General features: G+C 35.0%; 1 protein-coding gene across 23 annotated transcripts in view, besides 1 other annotated feature; it reads right to left on the bottom strand.

The window, feature by feature from the left end:
* The window catches only part of GPHN (gephyrin), a 1,227,209-nt gene that overhangs the window by 701,880 nt on the left and 500,301 nt on the right, over window positions 1-25,028 (bottom strand). For 20 of the 23 annotated variants that reach the window (XM_047430879.1, XM_011536340.4, XM_011536343.4 and 17 more), the window contains one exon: window positions 9,801-9,843. In XM_047430879.1, coding sequence (XP_047286835.1) covers window positions 9,801-9,843 — 43 coding nt within the window. Of the gene's footprint in view, window positions 1-9,800; window positions 9,844-11,661; window positions 11,725-25,028 lie in introns of all 23 variants that reach the window. The other 3 variants (XM_017020913.3, NM_001377514.1, NM_001377516.1) reach the window with 1 other exon arrangement.
* Window positions 1,091-1,591: an enhancer, noted in NCBI's record as "H3K27ac hESC enhancer chr14:67498602-67499102 (GRCh37/hg19 assembly coordinates)". NCBI's record gives its function as "activates a minimal SCP1, AML or CMV promoter by ChIP-STARR-seq in primed H9 embryonic stem cells {active_cell/tissue: H9 hESC(primed)}" and the evidence as "EXISTENCE:reporter gene assay evidence [ECO:0000049][PMID:30033119]".

Genomic DNA, 25,028 nt, shown 5'->3' with positions numbered 1-25,028 from the left:
TCTTTTGCCTCAGCCTCCTGAGTAGCTGGGATTACAGGTGTGCACCACCAGGCCTGGCTACTTTTTTTATTTTTAGTAGAGATGGGGTTTCACCATGTTGGCCAGGCTAGTCTCGAATCCCTGGACTCAAGTGATCCGCCTGCCTTGGCCTCCCAAAGTGTTGGGATTACAGGTGTGAACCACCACTCCTGGCCTCTTTGGCTTTCTTTGCTTTACTTTTCTGTTCCTTTTTTTTCTTTTTGCTCCTCTAACAATAATTTCAAATGACCTGTCTTCCAATTTTGCTGTTGATCTCTTCTGATTGGTCAAGTAATTGTTGAACCCCTCTAGTGAGTTTTTCAATTCAGTTATTGTATCCTTTGGCTCCAGAATTTCTCTTTGGTTCTTTTTTAATAGTTTCTAACTTTGTGTTGAAATCTTCATTTTGTCCATTCATTGGTTTCCTGATTTTGTTTAGTTGTCCATTTGTGTTCTCTCTTAGATCAGTGACCTTTTTAAAGGTAATTATTTTGAATTATTTGCCAGGTAATCATAAATCTCTGTTTCTTTGAGGTTGGTTTCTAGATAATTACTTTGATCTTTTGATTGGGCATGTATCCTGATTTCTTGGTGTGCTTTGTGATTTTTTGCTGAGTTTTAGTCATTTGAGAAACAGCCATGTCTCCCAATCTTTACAGACTGGCCTTATATAGGGGACACTCTCACCAATCAACCTGGCTAGAAATTCTGAGGCGGCCTCTGAAACCTTTTTGAAAGCGGGGGAATGTGACTTCTCTGGGTCTGTGTATGTAATTTCCCAATTAGAGAGGTTTGCAGGTTTCTCTGTCAGGAGCTTGCAATCTCTTGCTCTCAATGGTGTCTGTCTGCAGCACTGGAGGCTCTGTGGTGCTGCTGTAGCAAGCCATCACTGTTCCTTATTCTCAGTGGCCCGCAGACATCCAAAGTACACCAGCTCTCTGTTACCACCCCAGTGAGGCAACAGAGAAACCATTCTCTTGGTAGCCCTCCAAAAAGTCAGAACACCTAATGCATGTTCCACTCTTCTCTCTCCCTCCTGAGTGAAAAGTCAAGAATTGGGCACTTTCTCCAGATTGCACTGAGAGGTGCTGGTGCCTGTGTGTGGCACTGTAGGCCCTGTGGTACTACAGCAAGCTGCCTCCACTCTCCCTGGCTTTCAGTAGCCCTCAGGCATTCAAACTGTGGTAGTTCCATCAATGCAGTGAGATAGAAGGCAGTTATTTGGGCAGTCCTCTGAAAAGCTAGAATATTGGATGTATGTTTCCACTCTTCCCCCACAGAAAGAAACCATGAGTAGGGTGTTTTCTCTTTATCATGCTAAGCTATGCTGACTTGGAGGAGGGACTATCACAGGTAAAGTAAAACAGTTCTTATCCATTTCAATGTGGCTATTCTTGGCTTTGTGCCAGCTTGGGGGTATTGCAACAACCTTTTTTCTGGAGTTTTCATGAAGCTATTATGACCATATATTGCTTTTAAGTTGGTGTCTCTATGAGGATATGAGGGTTGGGGCTTCCTATCTATTAACTTAATGTTTCTTAGCAATACCTGCTATAATGTTGACAACGAGGAAGGTAAAAAGCCTGACTCAAAGTAATGAATGATGCAACTTTTCATATAAAATAAAAAGGTGATAACCGAGAAAAATAAGAGAAATAAGACAAAATTTAAATTGAATAGCGAATAGTACTTTGGGAATATAGGTTTCACAAATAAAAAAATTATATTTGAAAGCCAGGCATGATGGCTACTCAGGAGATTGAGGCAGGAGGATTGCTTGAGCCCAGGAGTTCAAATCCAGTCTGGGCAACATAGTGAGATACAATCTCTAAAATATTTTTTTCTTTTTAAATTTCGAGAACCTAGTAAATAAACTACATAAGGATATAGCAAGGAAAATTGAATAAGTTGGTTTACTTAGACTAGATAAAAAAGTCGAGAAAAATAGTGCTTATAAATAGTACCTCAATAAATATTTATGGAAGTCAATTGCTAATTATCCTTAGTTATATAAAGAAAGGTAATCTAAGTGATGGTAAGCAGCTATTGTCAGATCCAGTGAATGCCAATCAAGATGATAAGGGATTAGGTTGCAGCAAGAGATAAACAGAAATTTTTTTCTAAAAATAGGAGGCATAAGAAATTAACATACTTCTCCAAGGATTATTTCAAAATCCTCTTTCCTGGGAATAATAAAAAAGATAAAAATTCATGTTTCTTAATAGTAAGATGCAAGAAAACTAACCAGAAGACCTATCCATCTATGACAAATTAAGGGGTATAAGACTGAAAAGTCTGACTTACACTCCAGGCAAGAGGTAGTAATAAGTCGAGAACCTGGGTGGCAGTAGTGAGAATGAATGAAGGGATAAGGGCCAAAGTGGATACATGAGATAATTTGAAGAGAAGGAGCAGTTAAAACAAACAAACAAACAAACAAACAAACAAACAAACAAAACCCCCAGTATTTTCAATAAATATATTAGAGTTTTTGCTAATGTTCATTATTTTCCTTTTCTGTTCCCATACTGGTTTCTTATTTAGCAATTCTGCTGTCTTTTGCTTGCTCTGTCTGCTTAAGGTCTTCCTCTCATTTATTTATGCAGTCATCCAATCAACTCTTATTGAGAGAGAGTCATGGTGATAGATTCTGGTAATGGTATCAGGGAACAAGATAGATGAGGTCTTGCAAGATGCTTAGGGTGGAGTAGAGAGGACAGTGGAGAAGACAGAAAAGCACTACACTGTAAATACTCTTGCAATAAAGTAGGGAAACTACAGTATACTAGAAAAGAACTTGGGAGGGGCACTTTGCTCAGATTTGGGAGGTGATAGAAGGCTTCCTGAAAGAACTGTAGGATAAGTAGGAGTTATCCAGGTTTTGGAAGAAATGAGAAATCAGCATTTTGGGAAAGAGGGAACTATTTGCAAATTGAAATGTTCATATGGCTGGTGCACTGAATTCCAGGTAAAACTAGAGATAAGCAGAAGCCAATAGTAAGCAATTTTAAGGAGTTGGGCCTTTACACAAGAATAATAAGGAGCCATTTAAGGGTTAATGTTATTAAAGGAGTATGATAGGTTTAGATTTGTATTTTAGAATGATAAAAATGCTTGTAGGATGAGGAATAATAAACACTAAAGATTTCTGGTTTGGACAAATCAGTGGCTAGTGATGTTACTCCTTGAAATATGGAAGAAGAGTAAATTAAGATGATAAATTTAGTTTTAGTCACGTTGAGTATGAGATACTTGTGTAATATTTAAGAAAAGATCTACAACAGACAATTGGAAAAAAAACTGAAGTTTAGGAAGAAGATATGGATTGGAGTTATAGATTTGGTTTACTTGAAAGACTTGTTAATAGATGGTCTTGCTCATGCATAATATAGAGTGTGAATGGAAGATCTATGAGAGAAGTCTGAATAATACTGATAATTAATGACTGGGCCAAAAAAAAAAAAAAAAAGAGCTACCAAAGAAGCTGGAGAAAATGCAAACAGATAGTTTAAAAGGAACACTAGGAGACAGAAGTGCCAAGAAAGATAATTACTTCATTAAGGAGGGAGTGATTTATAAAGGTACCCAAGCTTGACATGCCTTCCTTTAGGCTTTCCCTTCCTCTTATACCCTAATCATAGTCCTAAATGCATCCATTTTCTTAAAACTCTGCTCTCAGAGGTGGCAGCCAAATTATCTGATAAATTTACGTAAGACTAGTGTATTTTAAAGCTTAATTTGTTATTCCAACTAGTTAATGTATCTTCACTAAATGAGTAGATCTTTTAAGACAGTGCCTTTACGCTAAAGAATAATGATAAGGCTGGGCGCAGTGGCTCACGCCTGTAATCCCAGCACTTTGGGGGGCTGAGGCGGGTGGATCACCTGAGGTCAGGAGTTCAAGACCAGCCTGGCCAACATGGTGAAATCCCATCTCTACTAAAAATACGAAATTAGCTGGGTGTGGTGGCGCATGCCTGTAATCCCAGCTACTTGGGAGGCTGAGGCAGGAGAATCACTTGAATCCGGGAAGTAGAGGTTGCAGTGAGCCAAGACTGTGCCATTGCACACCAGCCTGGGCAACAAGAGCAAAATTCCATCTCAAAAAAAAAAAAAAAGAATAATGATAATACCAGAAGTACCACCAGTATACTAATCATAGTATTACTAGTAGTACTAGTAGTACTAGTAGTAATTGTAACAATAGCAGCTACAAAGCTGTAGTACGCAAAACAGCATGGTATTTGTATAAAGCCAGACATATAGATCAATGAAACAGAATAGGGAACCAACTAACTTTTGACAAAGGCATCAGGAACATGCATCAGAGAAAAGGTGTCTTCCTCAGTAAATGGTGCTGGGAAAACTGGATAGCCATATGCAGAAAAATGAAATTAGACGCCTATCTTTTATTATATACAAAAATCACCTGAAAATAGATTAAATACTTAAACATAAGAACGAGAACTATAAAACTGCTAGACGAAAACACAGAAGAAACACTTTAGGACACTGGTATAGGCAAATATTTTTTGGCTAAGACTTCAAAAGTACAGACAACAAAAGAAAAACAGACAAATGAGACTATATCAAACTGAAAAGCTTCTGCACAGCAAAAGAAACAATCAACAGAGTAGAGTCAACCTGCAACATGGAAGAAAATACTTGCAAACTGTTCATCAGACAAGGGACTAATATCCACAACATACAAGGAATTCAAACAACTAAACAGCAAAAACCCAAATAATTCCATTAAAAAGTAATCAAATTAGCTGAATAGACATCTCTCAAAAGAGGACATACCTATGGCCAATAGGTATATGAAAAAATGCCCAAAATCACTAATCATCAGAGAAATGCAAATCAAAACCATAATGAAATATAATCCGGCTCCAGTTAGAATGGCTACTATAAAAAAACAAAAACTAACACATACTGGTAAGGATGTGGAGAAAAGGGAACTCTTATACACTGTTGGTGGGAATGTAAATTAGTAAGACATTATAAAAAACACTATGGACTCCCTCAAAAAACTACAAATAGAACTACCATATAACTCAGCAATTCTGCTATATTGGTATATATCCAAAGGAAAGGAAATCAGCATATCAAAAGAGATGCCTGTACCCCCATGATTACTGAAGCACTGTTCACCATAGCCAAGATATAGAATTAAACTGTGTCCATCAATAAATAACTGGATAAAGAAAATGTGGTATATACACACAATGGACTACTATTTAAAATAGTAGAAATTCTGTCATTTGCAGCAACACAGATGGAACTGGAAGGCATGTTAAGTGAAAGTAAGATAGGCACAGAATGACAGATGTTGCAAGTTCTCATTAATCTGTGGGAGTTAAAAAAGTTGACCTCACTGAGGCAGTGAGCAGAGTGATATTATCAGAGGCTGGGAAGGATGGTGTGGGGGATAAAGAAAAGTTGGCTAAAAGGTACAAACATACAGTTATATAGAATGAATAAGTTCTAATATTTGATAGTACAGTAGGGTGACTATAGTTAACATCAATGTATTGTATATTTCAAAATAACTATAATATAGGATTTGAAATGTTCCCAACATGAAGAAATGATAAATGCTCAAGAGGTGATGGATATCCCAAATACCCTGACTTGATCATTACAAATTCTATGCATGTATCAAGATATCACCTGTACTCCATAAATATGTACAAATATTATATATCAATAAAAATTCTGAATTCCATTAAAATATACTAAAAAAATCTAGAAAAGTTAATCCCAGGAAAATGTACCACTTGTCCGATAAAACACAGGCTGAACAAAGTACATCAAGAAAACAATTAAGGCTGGGCACCGTGGCTCATGCCTGTAATCTTAGCACTTTGGGAGGCTGAGGCAGCTGATCACGAGGTCAGGAGTTCAAGTTCCAGCCTGGGCAACATAGTGAAACCCTGTCTCTACTAAAAATACAAAAATTAGCTGGGCATGGTGGCACAAGCCTGTAGTCCCAGCTACTCAGGAGGCTGAGGCAGGAGAATCACTTGAACCTGGGAGGTGGAGGTTGCAGTGAGCAGAGATCGTGCCACTGCATTCCATCCTGGGTGACAGAGCAAGACTTTGTCTCGGGGTGGGGCAGAAAGAAAGCTATTAAAACGCTGTCCTACAGTGCTGAAATATAAATTCTCATCTGTAAAATTTTTTTATTTTACTTGATTTCTTGCATAAAACCAGTTATTCGTAAAAATAACAAAAGTTTGCTTTATTAAAAATAAAGTGGTTGACGGAAATGAATTATAGGTGGAAAGATGACAGAAGACAATAGTGTCATATCATCCTGATAACACGTGGTAATAAAACAATTTTGGCACTGATAATCAGATATTTGTTTATAAGTACCCACGGATATACCAGCTATCAATTTCTATTCTTACCTATTGCTTAGATATTTTGCACAATATTGAATCGGGTTTTGAAGGCCTTATTGAAATTAATTAGGTAGCACAGCATGTTGGTTAAAAATGTGGGCTATAAGGCTGGGCGCGGTGGCTCACGCCTGTAATCCCAGCACTCTGGGAGGCCGAGGTGGGCGGATCACGAGGTCAGGAGATCGAGACCATCCTGGCTAACACGGTGAAACCCCATCTCTACTAAAAATACAAAAAATTAGCCGGGCGAGGTGGCGGGCACCTGTAGTCCCAGCTACTCAAAAGGCTGAGGCAGGAGAATGGCGTGAACCCGGGAGGCGGAGCCTGCAGTGAGCCGAGATCGCGCCACTGCACTCCAACCTGGGCGACAGCGGGACTCCGTCTCAAAAACAAAACAAAACAAACAAACAAAAAAAAATGTGGGCTATAAAATCAAGGTCTGAAATACTGGCTTCAACTCATATACCATTTACCATATACACAAGCAACTTATTTAACTCTGGAATCTTTAATTTCCTTATCTATTTAATGTAGAAATTAATAGAATTTTACTCACAGGATTTGTTGTTGTGTGTGAGGATTAAGTGGGATGAACCATGTAGAAAAGTATTTAATACACAGTAACGTTCAATAAAAAGTAACCTATTTTATTATCATCATCATTATCAAGAAAATAATGGTAATTGGTAGTATTAGTAGTAATAGTAACAATAATATCAGCTAACATTTACTGAGTGATTATTATGTACCTAGCATTATACTATTTAATCCTTGTAACAATCTATAAGGCAGACCATCTTATTACCACATTTTAAAATTTATTTATTTTATTCTTTACAATTTCTGCCCTTTCTGAACAAGTTATTACCACATTTTACAGATCAGGAAAGTGAGGCATAGAGATACTGAGCACTTGTTCAAGTTCACACAGCAAATAAGTAGAGAAATTGAGATTTTAATATAGGGAGTTTGACTCTAGAAAGGAAAAATGTCACTTCAACAAAGACTTAGTCTTAGAGTCAGAGTCACAGAAAGGAAAGTCAGGATATTTATGAGATTTTGAAGTTTGGTCCAAAGTAGATCTTTCAATATAGGAGCTTCATTAAGATTGGATAAAGATCCTGATGTAATCATTTGGGATTGATGGATATAGCAAGGCAAGGGGTTGTGAGAGCTTGTTCACATTTGGTGGCCACGAAAGAGGTTCAGTTTCTAAGGACTTGGTTAAGTCATATAATGGCATGGCAATTTCAGAAAAGTTGCAAACTCATTGCCTGCTATAGCCAGTGAGACCCAGGTATCTTCTTAATTAGGGCCAAGATTTGGTTTTGAGGGATATAAAAGAGGCATTATTTTAAGTTTATTACATTTTATTTTGCCTTGGCCAAGGAATTTCTTATGGAAGTACTTTTGGAATCTCAATTTATTTGGGATATTTCCTCAAACCAATAAAAAACTAGCTCATTAGTTGTTTGCAATTTTGTTTCCTTTTTATTCTCAGGCTCCTTTTAAATAAACAATTTTGTTCATATCAAAAATTCCTCAGGGTGCCTATTATAATTCTTCCATAGCAAGACTCTCACTAACAAAACAGAAAGAGAACAAGGAAGGTTCTCATAGGTTGATCAATGACCAGGGTAAAGTTTATCTAAAGGACACCAGTCTTACAAGAAACCTGAAACTTGGTTTTCAGGGCCAGCTTGCAAAATACTTACTGAGGCCTATGTCTATGTTTTTCCTTATGAACGTACCCCTTACAGAGATACAACAAAAAATGACAAGGACAGACAGAGACAAATAGTAGTGTTATTGGTAATAAGACAGATTTTTACCAAGGATAAATGCATTTTCAAATTTAGTTAGATTATCAAAGGAGTCCTAAAAAGGATTCCTTACTCCTAGGACACAAAATAAAGTTGGCAACTAGGGAGCTCAAAGAAAAGAAATCAAAGTGCAATCTAATGCGAGACTTATCTCACTGTAACAATTGGAAACACTCCCCATACCCTAAATTGGAGGTTCAAAGGGGCTCAGAGGAATTTATTTTTTTGAGGTGTGAGCCACTGCGCCTTGCCAATATAATGGTCTTGGGCAAGCAATAATTGTGTTTGCCCAAGGGTTTGGAGCTAAGATAACAGATTTACAAAACAAAAATGGAAAAATTTACACAAAAAAACCCCATGAATTTTTACCTTTGTGAAGGTCTCTATTTTTTTATTGTGAAATAAAGATCAGCCACATGAGCACTCCATGGCCATGTGACCCAACCCCAATAAAAACCCTGAACATTAAGGCTCAGTGAGCTTCCCTGGTTGGCAATACTTGATGCATGCTGTCATACATTGCTGCTGGGAGAAATAAGCAATGTCCATATGGCTCCACTGGGAGAGGGCAACTGGAAGCTTGCACCTGGTTTCTCCTGGACTCTGCCCTATGTATCTTTTTGCCTTTGCTGATGTTAATCTGTATCCTTTCACTGTAATAAAGCATAACCAGGAGTATAACACAAAAATAATGCTGACATACTGCTAGAAATAGAAATCATTCAATTTGCTAAAACTCCCAGTGGTATGAGTATCAGTAGGCCTATTTCAGTATGATTCCCCTGTACTTCTCTTGATAAAGATCAGGAAGAAGATGGAATGATGTCATTAAGCTATTAAGATATAGAGAACAATAATAAAACCATTAGCATTTATATAGCACTTTTTTCTTAGGATCCCAAATCTTTTAAGACACGATTTTCAATGTGACATCATTTCAAAGGTACAGATAAGGAAAACCTATTATAGTTCCTTTTTATAAGACAGAAAAATGAATGATATACAGAGTTAAATGACTCCTGAGTTAATGCTATTAGTGATCAAACCAATAAATAAATTGAGCATTCTTTACTCTTGGTTTAAGGTTCTATGTTCTAACACATGCTGCCTGTGAAGTTATTATATGTCAGGAATTCATATTCACAAAATGAGTATGATGTACCCTCTTGGGAGCCACATATTCTTTTTTCAGAATTAGTCTCTGTTCAGGAATTTTCAATATTATTATTATTATTTTCAGTTAGTTTGTTTTCAAATAACTTTTGGCAGTGGAACAATTAAAGAGAGGTTCAGAGTCACAGAGGAGCTCATTCCTACCCTCCTAGGAGTGCATCAAAGTTCTGGTGTCAGCTTGCAAAAACAATTAGATTAAGGGAAATATTTATTAATGTATTGATACTGGCAATATTTTTAGAAGGTAAAAGCCCTAATATTCATATTTGTCACATAAATATTCCCCATTGCTTTTCTTCTTTTTTTTCACCAAAATATCATTTTTAGCTTTATAAGCTCTAGTTCAGCAGCCCACCAGAAATGGTAAAATACTTACTGGCTCTGAGAATGTTCTCCTTGCTGCTGCACCTGGACTGGACCTGTAGAAAGAGCATAAACTCAGTAATTTAGGGTTTATAGCATGAATAGGCAGATATGCATATTTAATGGGCAAGCTCCTGAGGTCTAGGAGCAAAGGCTTTATATATTAGTATTTCAGATGTCATAACATGTTAGTAAAAATGTTATACTTGTTTCATCTTTTTTCTTTATCTTTTCCTTAAAGAAAGAACTGACTTCCAGAAAAAAATTCGGGGTACAATATTGTAAATTACACAGAGATAAACCAAAGGTGATTTTTTATTCATTTGTATTTAAAATCGGTATATGGAAATTTGTTACTGTATATTTAGTTGTAAATATTGGCCCTTAATAGTAAGGCATTCAGTATATCTCTTGACTAGAATAATAATAAAATTCAAGTAATTAAGTTGTAACTAAGTATTCCATTATAGTAATTTTTTAGTATGTATATAAATTAATGGGAGGAAAATAGAGAAATCCTTATATAACATTTACATTTGATTCTGATAACCTGTTACTTATTGATCCTTATATAACATTTACATTTGATTCTGATAACCTGTTACTGATTATCATAATTTATCATAGTTATAATATTGATTATGAAATATGCTTCTGTTGAAAATCAATGAAATTGAACAAATTTATTTACCAGTTCTTAGGTGTATATAGAATTTATCAATCAGAAACCCTTATGCTTTGACTCAAATGTTTAAGTCAATGTGAAACATTCTTTTAAATGTGATAAAACTGTTACATTCAAGGAGCATGGTACATGTCATTAACATGTTGTTAATTTCAAAAGAAACTGTATTTAAGCTCCAGACCTCTGCTTCCCATTCCACAGCAGCTTGCCACAAATGGATATATACACAACAAATTAATTTCTATAGTTCAACACAATCTACTATCATAATGAAACAACTTATGAAAGGAATGTTGCAACTTAGGGTGGGTTATGGTTGTCCTTCCCTGAAAAAAACAATTGTTAATGTTTAAAAAAACGGCAATAAAAAAGTCACAAACATACATACAAGAAAAATACACACACACACACACACACACACACACACACACACACCAAAAAAAAAAAAAAAAAAAAAAAAAAGGAAAAATAATTCCAAATGTTAGTTATTCTCTTTTGGCCCAGATTGTTCAACTAGTTTTAAACATACTAGAAGGAAAAAGCTAGTCTGAAGATAATATTCTTATATTCTTTTACTCAGAAGTCTTATTTAAGTACAATTCTGGACCAAATGGGAAATAAATCAATGACTGCTTAAAGAAAATAATACAGGGAAGAAGACACAAGAATGAGGAAAAGAAAAGAGAGAGAGGTTTGAGGGTGTAAATCTAAACAATGGAAAATAAAGTATGGAATTACAGAAGGGGACAATATGTAAATGCAGAATGTTCTGCTATTTCTCATTAAAAATTCATACCAAGAGGGTAAGAATGACTAATGAACTTGCTGCAAAATAAATAAGCAAGTTGCTATACTATGGAATGAACATAAGTGTAACTATACCACTACAGCCTTAAAGAAAAGAAACACACACTAACAGACAATAGACAAGCTTAATAAAGAGAGAAACTACATTTCAAAAAGTGATTCAAAGAACACAAGAGAAAGCTAGAAGAGTGAGAGAAAAATCTGGGAGAGAGAAGGAAAAGAAAGGGGGAAATGTTAAAAGACAAAAACAGAGTTCAAAGAAGTCAAATGGAAGTCAAGAAAGTCTTCATTCAACAAGATGTAGAAACAGAAGGAGCCCAAACCCATAGCGCAAAGCAATGTTTGCGAATGGAAAGTGGCTCCTTTGATCAGTAATAGTTACTCTTAAGTCGTAGCCTCTATTCCTCCAGAGTTCATCTTTAAGCCCTTCCAATCTAGAGTGGAGCTAGTGTATGGATAGAAACAAGAGATTTACAATGAACAGAGCAGTTCAGATGAGTAGTTCAAATTGTCTCATAAAATGTTCCAACAGATTTATATAATGCCTCTTATATACATTTTCTAATGTATATAATGGAAATGGTGGTGAAGAACTAGTTGGCTTTACCAAAAAAACCCAAACCAAACCAAAACAACAACAAAATACCCTCTCCCGTTCCCTAGGTAACTTAAAAAATTAACAAGCAAAATCATTCATAACATGAATTGAATAAAGAAACCCAAGTGTTGCTTTGTGGCACCTCAGTTTAGAACTACATATTTCAAACAGCTTTGGTGGAGAAATTTGGATGATGAAAACAATTCAATTCCCTGAATCTGAGCGTTTATCAAGGTTCATAAATTGCCAACAGCAGTATAATCAATGCTTTCCCATTTATATTACATTGGCTATTTGAACCAGATTTGGGGAGAATCACTTTAATATCAATGATTATAAGAATTCCTTTAGTGATCTTGAGTATGTGTGTGTGTATAAATCAATCAATCAATCAACCTATACACCACTGAAGAAAAGAAAAATTTAAAAATGTTGTTTATTATTTATGCATGTAGCAAATAACTTTTTCTCTTGCACCATGAAACTAGTTCTCTTTATAATATGTACTTAATTTTATACAATTTCAAAATGAAAATTTTACTTAACTCACAATGTAATGGCATACACTTGAAATGATACACTTGAGAAACAACTACTGTTCTTATGGACTATAAAGAAGGTAACACAGATCTGTCTCAAGTTTTATGGCTTCTCGTTTTTTTCTTTATGTTACCCTGGCTTTACTCTATGGGAAAAAAAGGAAAGTCTGGAAAGCAAAATAAAACAGTTTTTGGCCTAACGTTAAATTTGTCAGGGATTACAAATAAAAGGTATGGCATCTGATTACCTTCTACTTTATTCTACTGGATCATGTTATTTTACTTCAGTTAACATCTGACTTTACAGTATTGACAAATAATTCCCCTTTCAACTGGAATCAAAACTAAAATAACATGTAGGAACAGCATATTATATTAAAGTCAATGGAGAAAATAAAAAACATGAAGGACTTAATGAAAACATAGGGTATATTCATTTACTAATCAAGATTGTTTTGAGACATCAAATAATTCATTTCAACATGTGTTTACATGTGTAATATAATTTTTGCTGAAGATCACATCGTCCATTAGGAAATCTTAAGATGTGAAACAGAAAAACAGAAGGGAGAGCACATAATAAATGTAAGGAACAAAAGTGAAAATGCCTTAAAAAAAGCGAAGAAATTTTAACAAACAACAACAATCTTTAGATACAGTTAGAGAAATCACTTACCTTATGCTTAGGTCATAACAAGAATAGCACAGTGTTTAAAGTCAGCTCTTCATTATGGGAGGTACAATTGAAAGCCATAGGTTATAATAACATGAATTGCTACACAGAAATGAAGACTTTTTCAGCCCAACATGAAAAGCTAACTCTTATGGGAGAACATTTCAACTTACGTTAAATGCAACATGAAGAACAATTGAGGGTGTAAACATCAAAACACACCCAAACACATGAATCTCACACCAAAAAGAGAGAGATGGCCCAATATCTCAAGACACAGAAGATTTAATCTGTGACCATAATTTGTGACATATAAGGGAAGGCACATTGCTTTAACAGTGAAAGATGCATGCATAATGTATAACCATCCATTTACCTCCCCACCCTCCACCCCACTTGTACACACACAAGCCCATTAAGATACAGGGAAAGAATGTAGTGCCAAGCTGTTATGAAGAAAGCAGGACACACGAAAGCGTAGCAGTGGTCATGTGATTTGAGAGGTGTTCTTCCCTTAAACCATCCCATCACCATGCTTATTTTAAAGAAGCCAGGAAAAGATTCCCTTTCAATGCTGCAGTAGCTACGAGCCCCCAGCTTGAAGCTAGTGTGTGGAATTTTGATCACCGTTCCCTGCGATGTCAGGGGCTCTCCAGTGGAAGCCAGATGTACTGTAACACCAGTTAGTGGGGGTACAAATGTGTGAATAACATCCTTTCCCTTCTGTATTTCACAGAAGTGAGGGAGGAGAGAAACAAAGAAAATAAAACCCGTGTTAAGAATAGGTTCATAACAATATAAGAATGTATAAGTATTAAAATGGAAATTACATTTGATTGCAGGTTAACACAAATCCGATTTCAAAAAATTGCCTATTTTGCTGCTCACCAGGCTAATTTGTATTCCTTTTCTTGTAAATGGTATACAGTATGGTTCATATTGAAAAATTCTGAGCACTTGGTCAGATGGGGTCAAAGTCAAGAACAAAATAAGTCATCTTCTTTGAAGGACATTAGGAAAACTATCTTTCCATTTTAAACATGACTTTACTGGCCACTAATCACATTTTAAATTAGAAATTAAGTTTCTGTTTAGCTGCTTACTTATATAATCTGAGAAGTCCTCTGTTTTGGAAAGACACAATTTAAATTTTAATCTTTTTACATTGTTAAAAAAGCAAACAACAAAAAAGCTATTTAGAAACTGTTTCCTAAGTACTCTTCTCTGTTATCAATACAAGGTATTTAAAATGGGCTATTCCTGTCAATAATAGGCTTATTTCAGCTCTTCAGGAAAAAATTCAACTTTGCTTTCATATTATTGGTGACAGTAGTTAACTTTATCCATTTTATTCTTTTTGTGTGAGATGAACTTTGATTCATGTGTACATCCCAATTTAGTTAGCAATGTCTAAACTGTTCAATGATCATGTACTCATTTTCTCTTCCTCTTTTTACTCTTAGCAGGCCAGAATATCTTGACTTTCCCTTTAATGTGGCTTTGGTATTTTAGGCTCTGGGCCCTCCCATAATCTCAGTTTCCTCACAGAAAAAAAATAAAGATTGTGGCTCAAAGGAGATAATGCATTCATCAGTGATTTTAAGCTATAAAAATGAAAATAAATGTCAGTAGTTGTTATGATCAGTGGTGCCACTGACAGCTGTAAAATAACTCTGTGATTACACACCCTCCTCATTATAATGTAGGCAAGCTCTTGTTTCTAACCCAAAGAGAGGTGGAAAATTCTATGTACAGTTATACGTTTCTCAGTAGGGATACGCCAGAACATTTTGGAAATGTCATAGCCATATGGCCATATGCACGGTAGGCATGCAAGCCATATAATCTAAGGCATGGAGCAAAGTCTCAACCAGCTCCTCTAGAAACTGCCTTGTATTCTTGAACTTTTAGACCTTAGACAAGCTGTTGCCTTTATCTGGAATACACTGTTGCTTATTTTCTGATGCAAATACTACTTGTCCTTTAAGATCCAGCTTAGATTACACCAGCCATTAAAAAAAAATTCCCAAGTTCCTCAATCAGAAATAATTTCTTCTTTCTCTAAACTCTTTTAGCAGTGTTGAGATATAATTTATCTACCATAAAACTCATTCATTTTAAGTATAAAAGTATTAAAAGTTTGATGACTTTTAATAAAGTTATATGGCTGTGCAACCAACACTACAACCTAGGTTTAGATTTGCCTAGATTCTTACGGCATCTTATTTGAAATTCTAATATAGGACTTATAGAAGTTTATAATATAGAATAGGAGTTAATAGTTACTCATATTCCAATTACTGATATGAGTCCCCAAGTAGACTGCAGGTTCTTAGAGGAAAAGGATCATGACTTTATCCTCTTTTTATTTCCCACTACATTAAATACACTGCTTTGTACAGAGGAAACATTTGCTAAATCTGAATATTTTGTAGTAATTATTTTTCTTTTCAATCTCAGCAGACTAAAATTTATTTTTAATAGTATAAGTATGATCATAGCCATTCCTGTACCTGTTTTATCAGCTTACAAAGAAGTTTTACTTATTTGGGTCTGATAGTATTGACAGATAATATGAGAAGTATGTAGATTATAGCTAAGAGATATCTGGGTATCCTACAGAATGATCTCAAGAATTTAGAAATTAATATTACTTAAGGTTAATCAAATAGTGACATTTGGAGTCCAATAAAAGTTTTCTATACCAAGAGTTTCAGGTTAGGTTAAGAAGATTCCTTATTTTCTAAGAGAGCAGGATGTTTTATATCTTACATGGTCTGGTCACTGTAATGACAGAGATGATAGAAATTTTTGATGCATCATGGCTTATTTTGACTTTAGTTTTTCTACCTTATTAAACTTATTTAAGAGTAATCAGTCTCTGAAAGAATGAACTTCTTTGAGTACCATCTACTCATAAGATTAAGAGGAAGGAGAAAAAGGGACCCGTTTACTCAGATTACTTGCCTCTTTAGCCTACCCAGAAACAGAAGCAAAAGTTTGATTTAAATAACATTAAGCCAATAACTCTACAATCTTAGACTCTTACATTCTATTTCTTTCTCTTCTTACTTCTTAAACACAAATGGATAATTGTTCTAGAAAAGTTTTTTCCCATGGTTCCATTCATGCATCACTTTTTGGAATAAATTAGGATGCAAGTATTTGGCTTATTTGAGTTTAATAATAGCTCTTATGTGTTTAATTAGATTTATGATATCACAGCACATATTCAACTGAAGAACTCAAAGAGTTTTGGCTTTTTATGACATGAAAGGCAGCATGATAAAGAGGATGTCCTTTGGAGTCCCATGGTATGATTTCCAATACTGGACTTTCCTCTTCCTAGCTGTGTAACCTTGGATGTGACATTTAACACTTAGAGCTTTAATTTCCTCATCCATAATATGGGGAAAATTAAGTAGGGTAATGTATGTGAAAGTGAAAACTATTGTAAGTAAAAATAAAATAGAAATTGAAGTTGTTCTTATTATCTTTATGAATATTTTAAGTCACATATATTTTATATAGGTAGAATCTGAGGCACAATAAGAATAAAGAATTTGCTACAAATCATGCTAGGAATCAGTGACAAATAATAGATGAATTGCCAACTTCTAGACTAAAGCTACAGAAAAAGTCTGAGTAAAGGTCTGAGATTAGCTCTGCTAGGATTAATCTAATTCTGTGTTGTATGATTTTAGTAAAGTTATCTCCTCTCTATGGGTCTTGGTTTTCTTATTTGCAAAATATGGATGTTTCTAGGGGTTTTAACTCAGGTCAATGGGTCCCTTGAGAGAATCTTGTGGGTAAAAGACAGGTCCATTCACTGGGACAGAGAAATGAAATTACAATCTTTATATTTAAAAATCTAATTAATATTTATTATCTTCTTTCATTATGAGCTCAGGCAACAAATCACAGTAATATTAACAGAACCTTTTACTTCAATGGTTATAAATATCTTTTTATGTTTATAATGATTTCAAATTATAGTAGTTATTAGATCTGCTCCTAGTTTGTTATTTAATGCATTTAAAAATAGGCATTTATTATTATATTGCAGTTTGTTTTAAAAGTTATTTTGATCATGATTTGAATTGGTTTTCTAATGTTATATATTTTATTTTATACACTTAAAAATATTTTTATGAAAAAAATATCTGTAGGCTTTGACCAAGTACCACATGGGTCCATGGCAGAAAAAAGGTTAAAAGTCTCTGAGCCAGATAATTTCCAAGCCTCCTTTTATCTGCAGAATATTATAGCTATATGAAACCTTTCCCACCTCTATTTGCTGTCTTTTATCAAATCAGATATAAAAGGTGTCCTTTTTTTAAGAAAATTATATAAAATTGGTCACTGAATTAAACAAGTGCCCATTTAATAGACCGAAACAAGAAACAAAAAAGGAACACTGTTGCTTAAAAAAGTTATTAAATCCTCAGGGTTAAAAAAAATTCTGCTTCAGTTGTGCTTTTCCCATTGGTTCAGATGGACTAATCATTTAACAGTAATCACATTTAAAAACCTCTAATCAAAGGTGAACTTCCATACACACACACATACACACATAAAAACAGACACACGTGTGTATGTATCCATAACCATTTATTCTTTGAATTTTCAGTCATTTATTGCTCACTGATAGAGAGTAGCAATGTTATTTTTTATTTGTATTTTTTTTCCCCGAAATGGAGTCTTGCTCTGTCACCAGGCTCGAGTGGAGTGGCATGATCTTGGCTCACTGCAACCTCCGCCTCTCAGGTTCAAGCAACTCTCCTGCCTCAGCCTCCCGAGTAGCTGGGACTACAGGTGTGCGCCACCACACCTGGCTAATTTTTGTATTTTTAGTAGAGATGAGGTATCACTGTGTTACTCAGGCTGGTCTCAAACTCCTGACCTCATGATCTGCCTGCCTTGGCCTCCCAAAGTGCTGTGATTACAGGCTTGAGCCACAGCGCCTGGGCTGCTGTTTTTTTTAAATCTATGTACAACATAAGAGAATGCCGGCAAATAGACAATATTTATAAGCAAAACAATTTTATAAATCTTTTCCAGGTGACCATTCTTAAATGTTTTCCCACTGTTATATAAATTTTCATTGTTAAATTCCACCGAGCTTTCCTAAGTTCTAGGTTAATGTGAAAAACACTTCCTTTTCAGTATTGACCCATTCTTAAAGAAGTCGGAAGTGTGTCAGGTTATATAGCTGGTGAAGTTAATTATAATTACCACTGAAAATCAAAGCTTGTTTATGCTTCTTTATAGGTAACTTGGTGAGTTCCTTATTTGTTCTTAAAGAAAATACTATAATATGTAGAACACACTTTCTATTCTTTAGAACTGGTTATCACCATGACTCAAGGAAATATGAATTTAAGCATCAATGTTAAATGTTCTTAATGTATTTCCTATATAAAGCTTTAATTCCAAGTTGAACCATGTTCAGTGACCTCTGGAAACTTTGCAAATCCCAGGCTGGTCTCCTCTTGGTACCAACAATCGTTTTGGTTTGGTGCTTGTTCTGAAAATGTTAATGTTGATCATAAATATGAAGAAAAATTACTACCCAAATTATATAATGTATTATAAAGCTAAATGAAGTATTTTTGGCTAAGAGGAATTTCAGATTATTCATTATTTCCCAATCTTAAGATGAATAACTGATTATTTTACAGAGTAATTACTCTTCATTCTAAAGGTTAGAAGGTAGGAATTATTACTGGTTTTAGGTCATACAGTAAAGTAGTAATAGAACTTGGTTCTCTTGACTTCCAAACTTAATTATCTGTACACTATCAATCACTCCACCTTTCTAACCTAACAATGACAATCATTGCATTCCTAATCACAACTTGAATTTTCATTGCTTCTTTGCTCTTGACTGTTTCTCTTAGCGATGAGAACCACTGAGAACAGGGATTTGAATGTAGGGGTGACGGAGAATGGTATAACAAAAGAACTTTGGGGAGTAGTATTCTGGAAAAAAACTGTCTAGATTTGAATTTTGGCTCTACCATTATTAGCTGTATAACACTGTATAAGTCATAACTTCACGTATAAGTGAAGATAATAATAACATCTATCTCATAAGATATTTGTAAAGAAAATAAGAATACATGTAAAGTGCTTGCTTAGAGATACATGTAAAGTGCTTGCTTAGAGAGTAGCTCAGAGTTAACAGTATATATTGTTAGCTATTACTATATTGTTGTTCCTACTATTATCCTTTTGTTTGGATGATATTCTAGGCCTGTAATAAGAAATGCTGATTTTTTTTTGTTTTGCGTGTGTGTGATTTTGACAGTTCTCAAAAGTAAGATCAAGTAAGATTAATTTAGGTGAGTATGTGAACAGGAAGTTTTCAGAAAATATTGATTAATTCTAAAAAATAGAGGCCAAGGAATAGATACAGTCAATAATATAAAAACTTGAATTATTGAGTATTTGTAATTATTATGCATTTTGTGACACTTCTGGAAGAAAGTCACATTCGTTTTCATTAAGCATGAAGTTTGAAATACTGAGTTTTTAATTAGATTTAATATTCTTAGTTTTTATTCTTAAATGTCATGTCTTATCACCTATTTGATCATTAAAAAAACCCTAATGCTTTACTCATTTCAGTGTGGCTGTATTGTTTTCCTTTCTAAATCATATTTTAGATTGATTGAAAAAGTTGTGACTTTATTTTTCTAAATGCTTAACTAGCATTCATAAGGCACATGAAAGATGTACAAATATATGTCTATACTGCACTAGTAAAGTAGCAAGAGCTTAGAAAGTGTGTAGAAAAGTTTCTTCGAGAAATATATAAGAACTAGGCATTCTGATGCCTAGTATTACAGCTATGTATGGCGTACATTATGTTGTTAATCAAGCCTCTCATGATCTAACCAAGTAATAGTTAACAAGTATAGTTTAATAATATAATATATAACTCATTTTCAGGATGAGCAATATAGGTCAGATTATTTCAGATGTATGTAAATTTTTTTCTTAACATAAGCCCTATACCTGTAGGTCCAGAGACATGCACTAATTAGATCGGTTAAAGCTAGAGACTTGTGTATGTAGCGAATCCTCTTTTCAGCAGGAAAAACATAGGAAGTTAGGCTAGCTAAATAACCTTGACTAAATTATTTCAAGTATTAGTTTCCACATCTACAAAAATCAAGATAATACTATTCAATTATTGAACAAATATGTGGAAAAAAGAAATTAACAATAATAATAATAATAAAAAAGAGTATGTGTTGAGCTAAGCTCAGTTGCCCAGAGCCATCGCCAGGCTCTTATCTAGGTGCTGGAGGTAAAACATGAACAAAATTGATAAAGACCTTGCTATCTTGGAATTTACATTCTAATAGTAGTAGACAGATGATAAGCACCTAAACTAATAAGTACATAAATAAGATAGTTTCAGAAAGTGGTTAGTGCTATAAAGAAAATAAAATACAGTAATGGAATAAAAAAATAAGTAGTGATAAGGTATAGCTATTTTAGACAAGAGTAAGCAAGGAAGACTTCTCTGAATAAGTATCATTTTAGTTAAGATTTGAGACAGCCAGATGAAGATCATGGGGAAGAACTTTCCAGACTGAGGAAACAGCTAAAGGTGTGCAAAGGCTCAAATGTTTTGTTGAATTTCCACCTCATAGAATTATTGTGAGACTAAAATAAGCTAATGCATGTAGAGCATTTGTTATCATATCCAACATTGTATAAAGGACAAATACATGTTTTTCTGGTAATGATGAAAGTGACAATAATAATGGCTATAATGACTATGATACAAACTACCGAAATCCAGACTGAAATTACTCTCCCCAATCCCTCCTAGCCTGGAAATATTTGTAACCTCTTCCACATCAAAGAAGACTGTTGTAATTGGTCAGAAAGGCCAAAGATTGGTAATAAAAAGACACACGGGTGTTCAGACTTAGGGTTCCAGCAAAGTGGGATACAAAAGTACCTTTTGGGAAAAAATCTGCTATTTCATAAAAGTCAATGAAGGCATCTCTTAAAAGACAGAATACAATTTTTGTTGTTTATTGAAGTTTTACCATAAATAAATTTCTGCATTAAAGCTATGATTTCATAATGCTATTGATCCATGATAGCTACTACACTTGCTAGTATTCTCCTGACTGTTAAATCTATCCCTATAAGTGTTGAGGCATTCTCAAAATTTATGGAAAGATGCATCACATGGAATAACCATCAAACCAGAGAAAACTTAATTATAAAGATTTTCTCTTTTTAGCAATCATTAACCTCCATGTCCAAAGTATATGAAGTTTCATTTGGGACAGAACAATGTTATTAATAATGCCAGGAGGTGCGTTGGTTCAGTGTTAGTGATTTTTGTTTCATTTGCATTCCAGTTTGGTTCCTTTTGATTTCCTATATATTTCTAGTATAGAGGTATGACACAGTGGTTTGGTTAGGATTAGCCAGAGTAGTTTTGAGACATCTTGCCTGCTTCTGACCAGTTTATTTTATTGTAATCTGAGCACAACAAACAGAAGTGATCATATATATATATAAAATCTGTGTATTTATACACACAACACACACATATTTAGTGGGTCTGTGTATTCTATCTTCATAGCACACACTGAAAATCATTAAAGTTATACTATAAACCAGTAGGTTACTTGAAAATAAATATAAGCAGAAAGAGAGAAAGAGGAGTAAAAAGGATCCTGGGAAATATAGCATTATTCAAATGCCGGGTCAACATATGCCCCATATGTGGAAAGAACACAATCCTAATTTTCCTTCTTTTTTTTTTTTTTTTTTTTTTTGAGGCAAGGTCTCACTCTACTGTCCAGGCTACAGTGCAGTAGTACCATCATAGCTCATTGCAGCCTCAACCTCCTAGGCTCAAGTGATCCTCCCACCTCAGCCTCCTGAGTAGCTTGGGACCATAGGCATGTGACATCCCCCCGAGATAATTTTTTTTTTTTTTGTAGAGGTGGGGTCACCCTATGTTGTCCAGGCTGGTCACAAACTCTTGGACTCAAGTGATTCTCCTGCCTTGGCCTACCAAAGTGTTGGGATTACACGCATAAGCCACTGTGCCAGGCCTTTAATATTCTGTTTTGTTCTTATATGAGAATTCTATGCAAAGGAAATTTGAGCTTTGTCACAATTGTTCAGTTTCCTAAAAATATATCAAAAGATCTGAATAAATCATAGTAAAACATTAAAATGTGCTAAATCTAAATGGTTACCAAATGGGTGTTTGTTATATTATCTGTTGTTTACTATATATAACATTTGAAACATTTCATTAAATAATGGGAACTATAAAAAAAAGAAACTAATTTTCCCAAGGACATTTACATTAGGCTTTCAATACCCCAAAACACTTTAGCTTGGATTTCTCAAATTTAGAATTTGATATCATCTAAATACCCATTTACACTATCCTAAAAACAAACAATGTCAATGTTTTCAACCCATATATTTTTTTCATTATTTTTTTCCTTCACTAAGTATTTATTGAACTGAGAATGCTATTAAATTCTAACCACTGTCCTAGACAGTTGCACCATTGACCAACTTGCTTCCTTCCTGTGGTTGCTTCAGGTGGCTTTGCTGTGTCTTGCATCGCTCAGTTATCATATGGGCAATATAATTGTATCAAACTCTGCAGAAACTCATCCATTAGAGCTTTCCAACTCTTACATCCCACATGTTTTAAAAAATTCCTACTTGGAAAAATTTTAAAAAATTTTCCATGTAGGAAATTTTTAATTGGTAATTCTTTGTTTTACATATGTTTCTTTATTCTTTTTTTTCTTTCTTTTTTTTTTTTTTTTCTGAGACAGAGTCTCGCTCTGTTGCCCAGGCTAGAGTGCAGTGGCATGATCTCGGCTCACTGCAAGCTCTGCCTCCCAGGTTCACGCCACTCTTCTGCCTCAACCTCCCGAGTAACTGGGACTGCAGGTGCCCGCCACCACACCTGGCTAATTTTTTGTATTTTTTTAGTAGAGACAGGGTTTCACCGTGTTGGCCAGGATGGTCTCGATATCCTGACCTCGTGATCCGCCCTCCTCAGCCTCCCAGAGTGCTGGGATTACAGGCGTGAGCCACCGCGCCCGGCCTATTCTTGATTTACTCTATATTATCTGTAGAACTCCCTACTTTCTCTTCTCTTTTCTTCAGTTCACCATCCTTATTATTTCTTTCTGATAAAAGTTACTAGCAGTTAACATGGGAGGAGCTGAAGGGTAATTTTAATTTTCTCTTTGCTTATCTATATTCTTTACTGAATGTATGAAAAACAATACAAAAGTTATCTAAAAGAAAAACACGGCTGGGCATGGTGGCTCACGTCTGTAATCCCAGCACTTTGGGAGGCCGAGGCGGGCAAATCACCTGAGGTCAGGAGTTCGAGACCAGGCTGGCCAACATGGTGAAACCCCATCTCTACTAAAAATACAAAAATTAGCCAGATACAGTGGTGTGCGCCTATAATCTCAGCTACTCGGGAGGCTGAGGCAGGAGAATCGCTTGAACCTGGGAGGTGGAGGTTGCAGTGAGCTGAGATTGCACCACTGCACACCAACCTGGGTGTCTAAAAAAACAAAAAGAGAAACGAAACAAATAAAAAACCCCAGAAACTCTCATTGAAAATGCCATTTGATCAAAAAATTATAAAATTCAAACCTTTTAGTATAATATAGACAGACCATTTTACTATCTGTTCAAATCAGTTTTACTCAATTGTGTATAGATTCCCTGTGAATCATTGTTTCTCAGTCCTTCCCCTGCATACACATCTACATTAAGACATTTGGGATCAGTTTACAGTCTACCATAGAACAACTGTGAAGCTAACTAGATTCACAAGTCTGTAACCCTAGACCCATTAACGTTATGTTTTAACTCAAGCTGAAAAAGGCATATTCTATTTATAAATAGTCTTTTGACAGGGTCATTATATGATGCATAAAATTTTTACAGTTAGAAATATTGTATCTAATTTATTTATGTTAGTTTCATCCAGATTACCTCTCCTATATTCCTGTGAGCTACTTGCCTAGAATTTAGGCTCAGTGTACCAGAACATAAAAGCAGCTATGCCAAGCTCATTTTGTTCCTTTGAAGCACACTGAAACACAAAAATTAATAACAATTATTAAGGTTCATACTCTTTCTCAGTGGCTGAAATGGGTTATTACTTTCATTGAAAAAGGAAAGGAAAAGAAATAACTAGAAATAAAGAGACAGGTGATTTCTAATGAAAAAAACAAACACACAAGGAAAGGGAAAAGAAGCACAAGAAAAAATAAAGTGTAGGAAACTGCAGTGAGAAAGTGGGTTAATGTAAATGAGGTAATAAGTAATGGAACAGGGATTCTTAGATTATTCTTCTGTTTGCAATTTTTTTCTCTTCACATTTTTTACTTCAACCTTCAAAACATAAAGCAGACTGTAAAAGCACAAATATAACCCCTGATCTGGAACTGTCTTTTAAGTCAATAGGCAGTAATCAAAAGGTATAGCTTATAAAATTTAAAAAGGGCTGGGTACAGTAGCTAACACCTGTAATCCCAGCACTTTGGGAGGCTGAGGTGAGAGGATTGCTTGAACCCAGAAGTTCAAGACCAGCCTGGGCAACATGGCAAAAACCCTGTCTCTACTAAAAACACAAAAAATTAGCTGGGCATGGGGGCATGCACTTGTAGTCCCAGCTATCTGGGAAGCTGAGGTGGGAGGATCGCTTGAGCCCAGAAGGCGGAGGTTGCAGTGAGCCAAGACTGCGCCACTGCACTCCAGGCTGGGTGACAGAGAGAAACCCTGTCTTAAATAAATAAATAAATAAATAAATTTTAAAAAAAGATGTGTGTAAGAGAAAAGACAGGTATTTTGACCCACATCATGACTAATCTTTTTTTTTTCTTTTTTCTTTTTTTGAGACG

Source organism: Homo sapiens, chromosome 14, assembly GCF_000001405.40.
Source record: "Homo sapiens chromosome 14, GRCh38.p14 Primary Assembly".
Classification (NCBI taxonomy): Eukaryota; Metazoa; Chordata; class Mammalia; order Primates; family Hominidae; genus Homo; species Homo sapiens.
The sequence above is the reverse complement of the archived record's forward strand: the minus strand, read 5'-3'. Positions and strand labels throughout refer to the sequence as shown.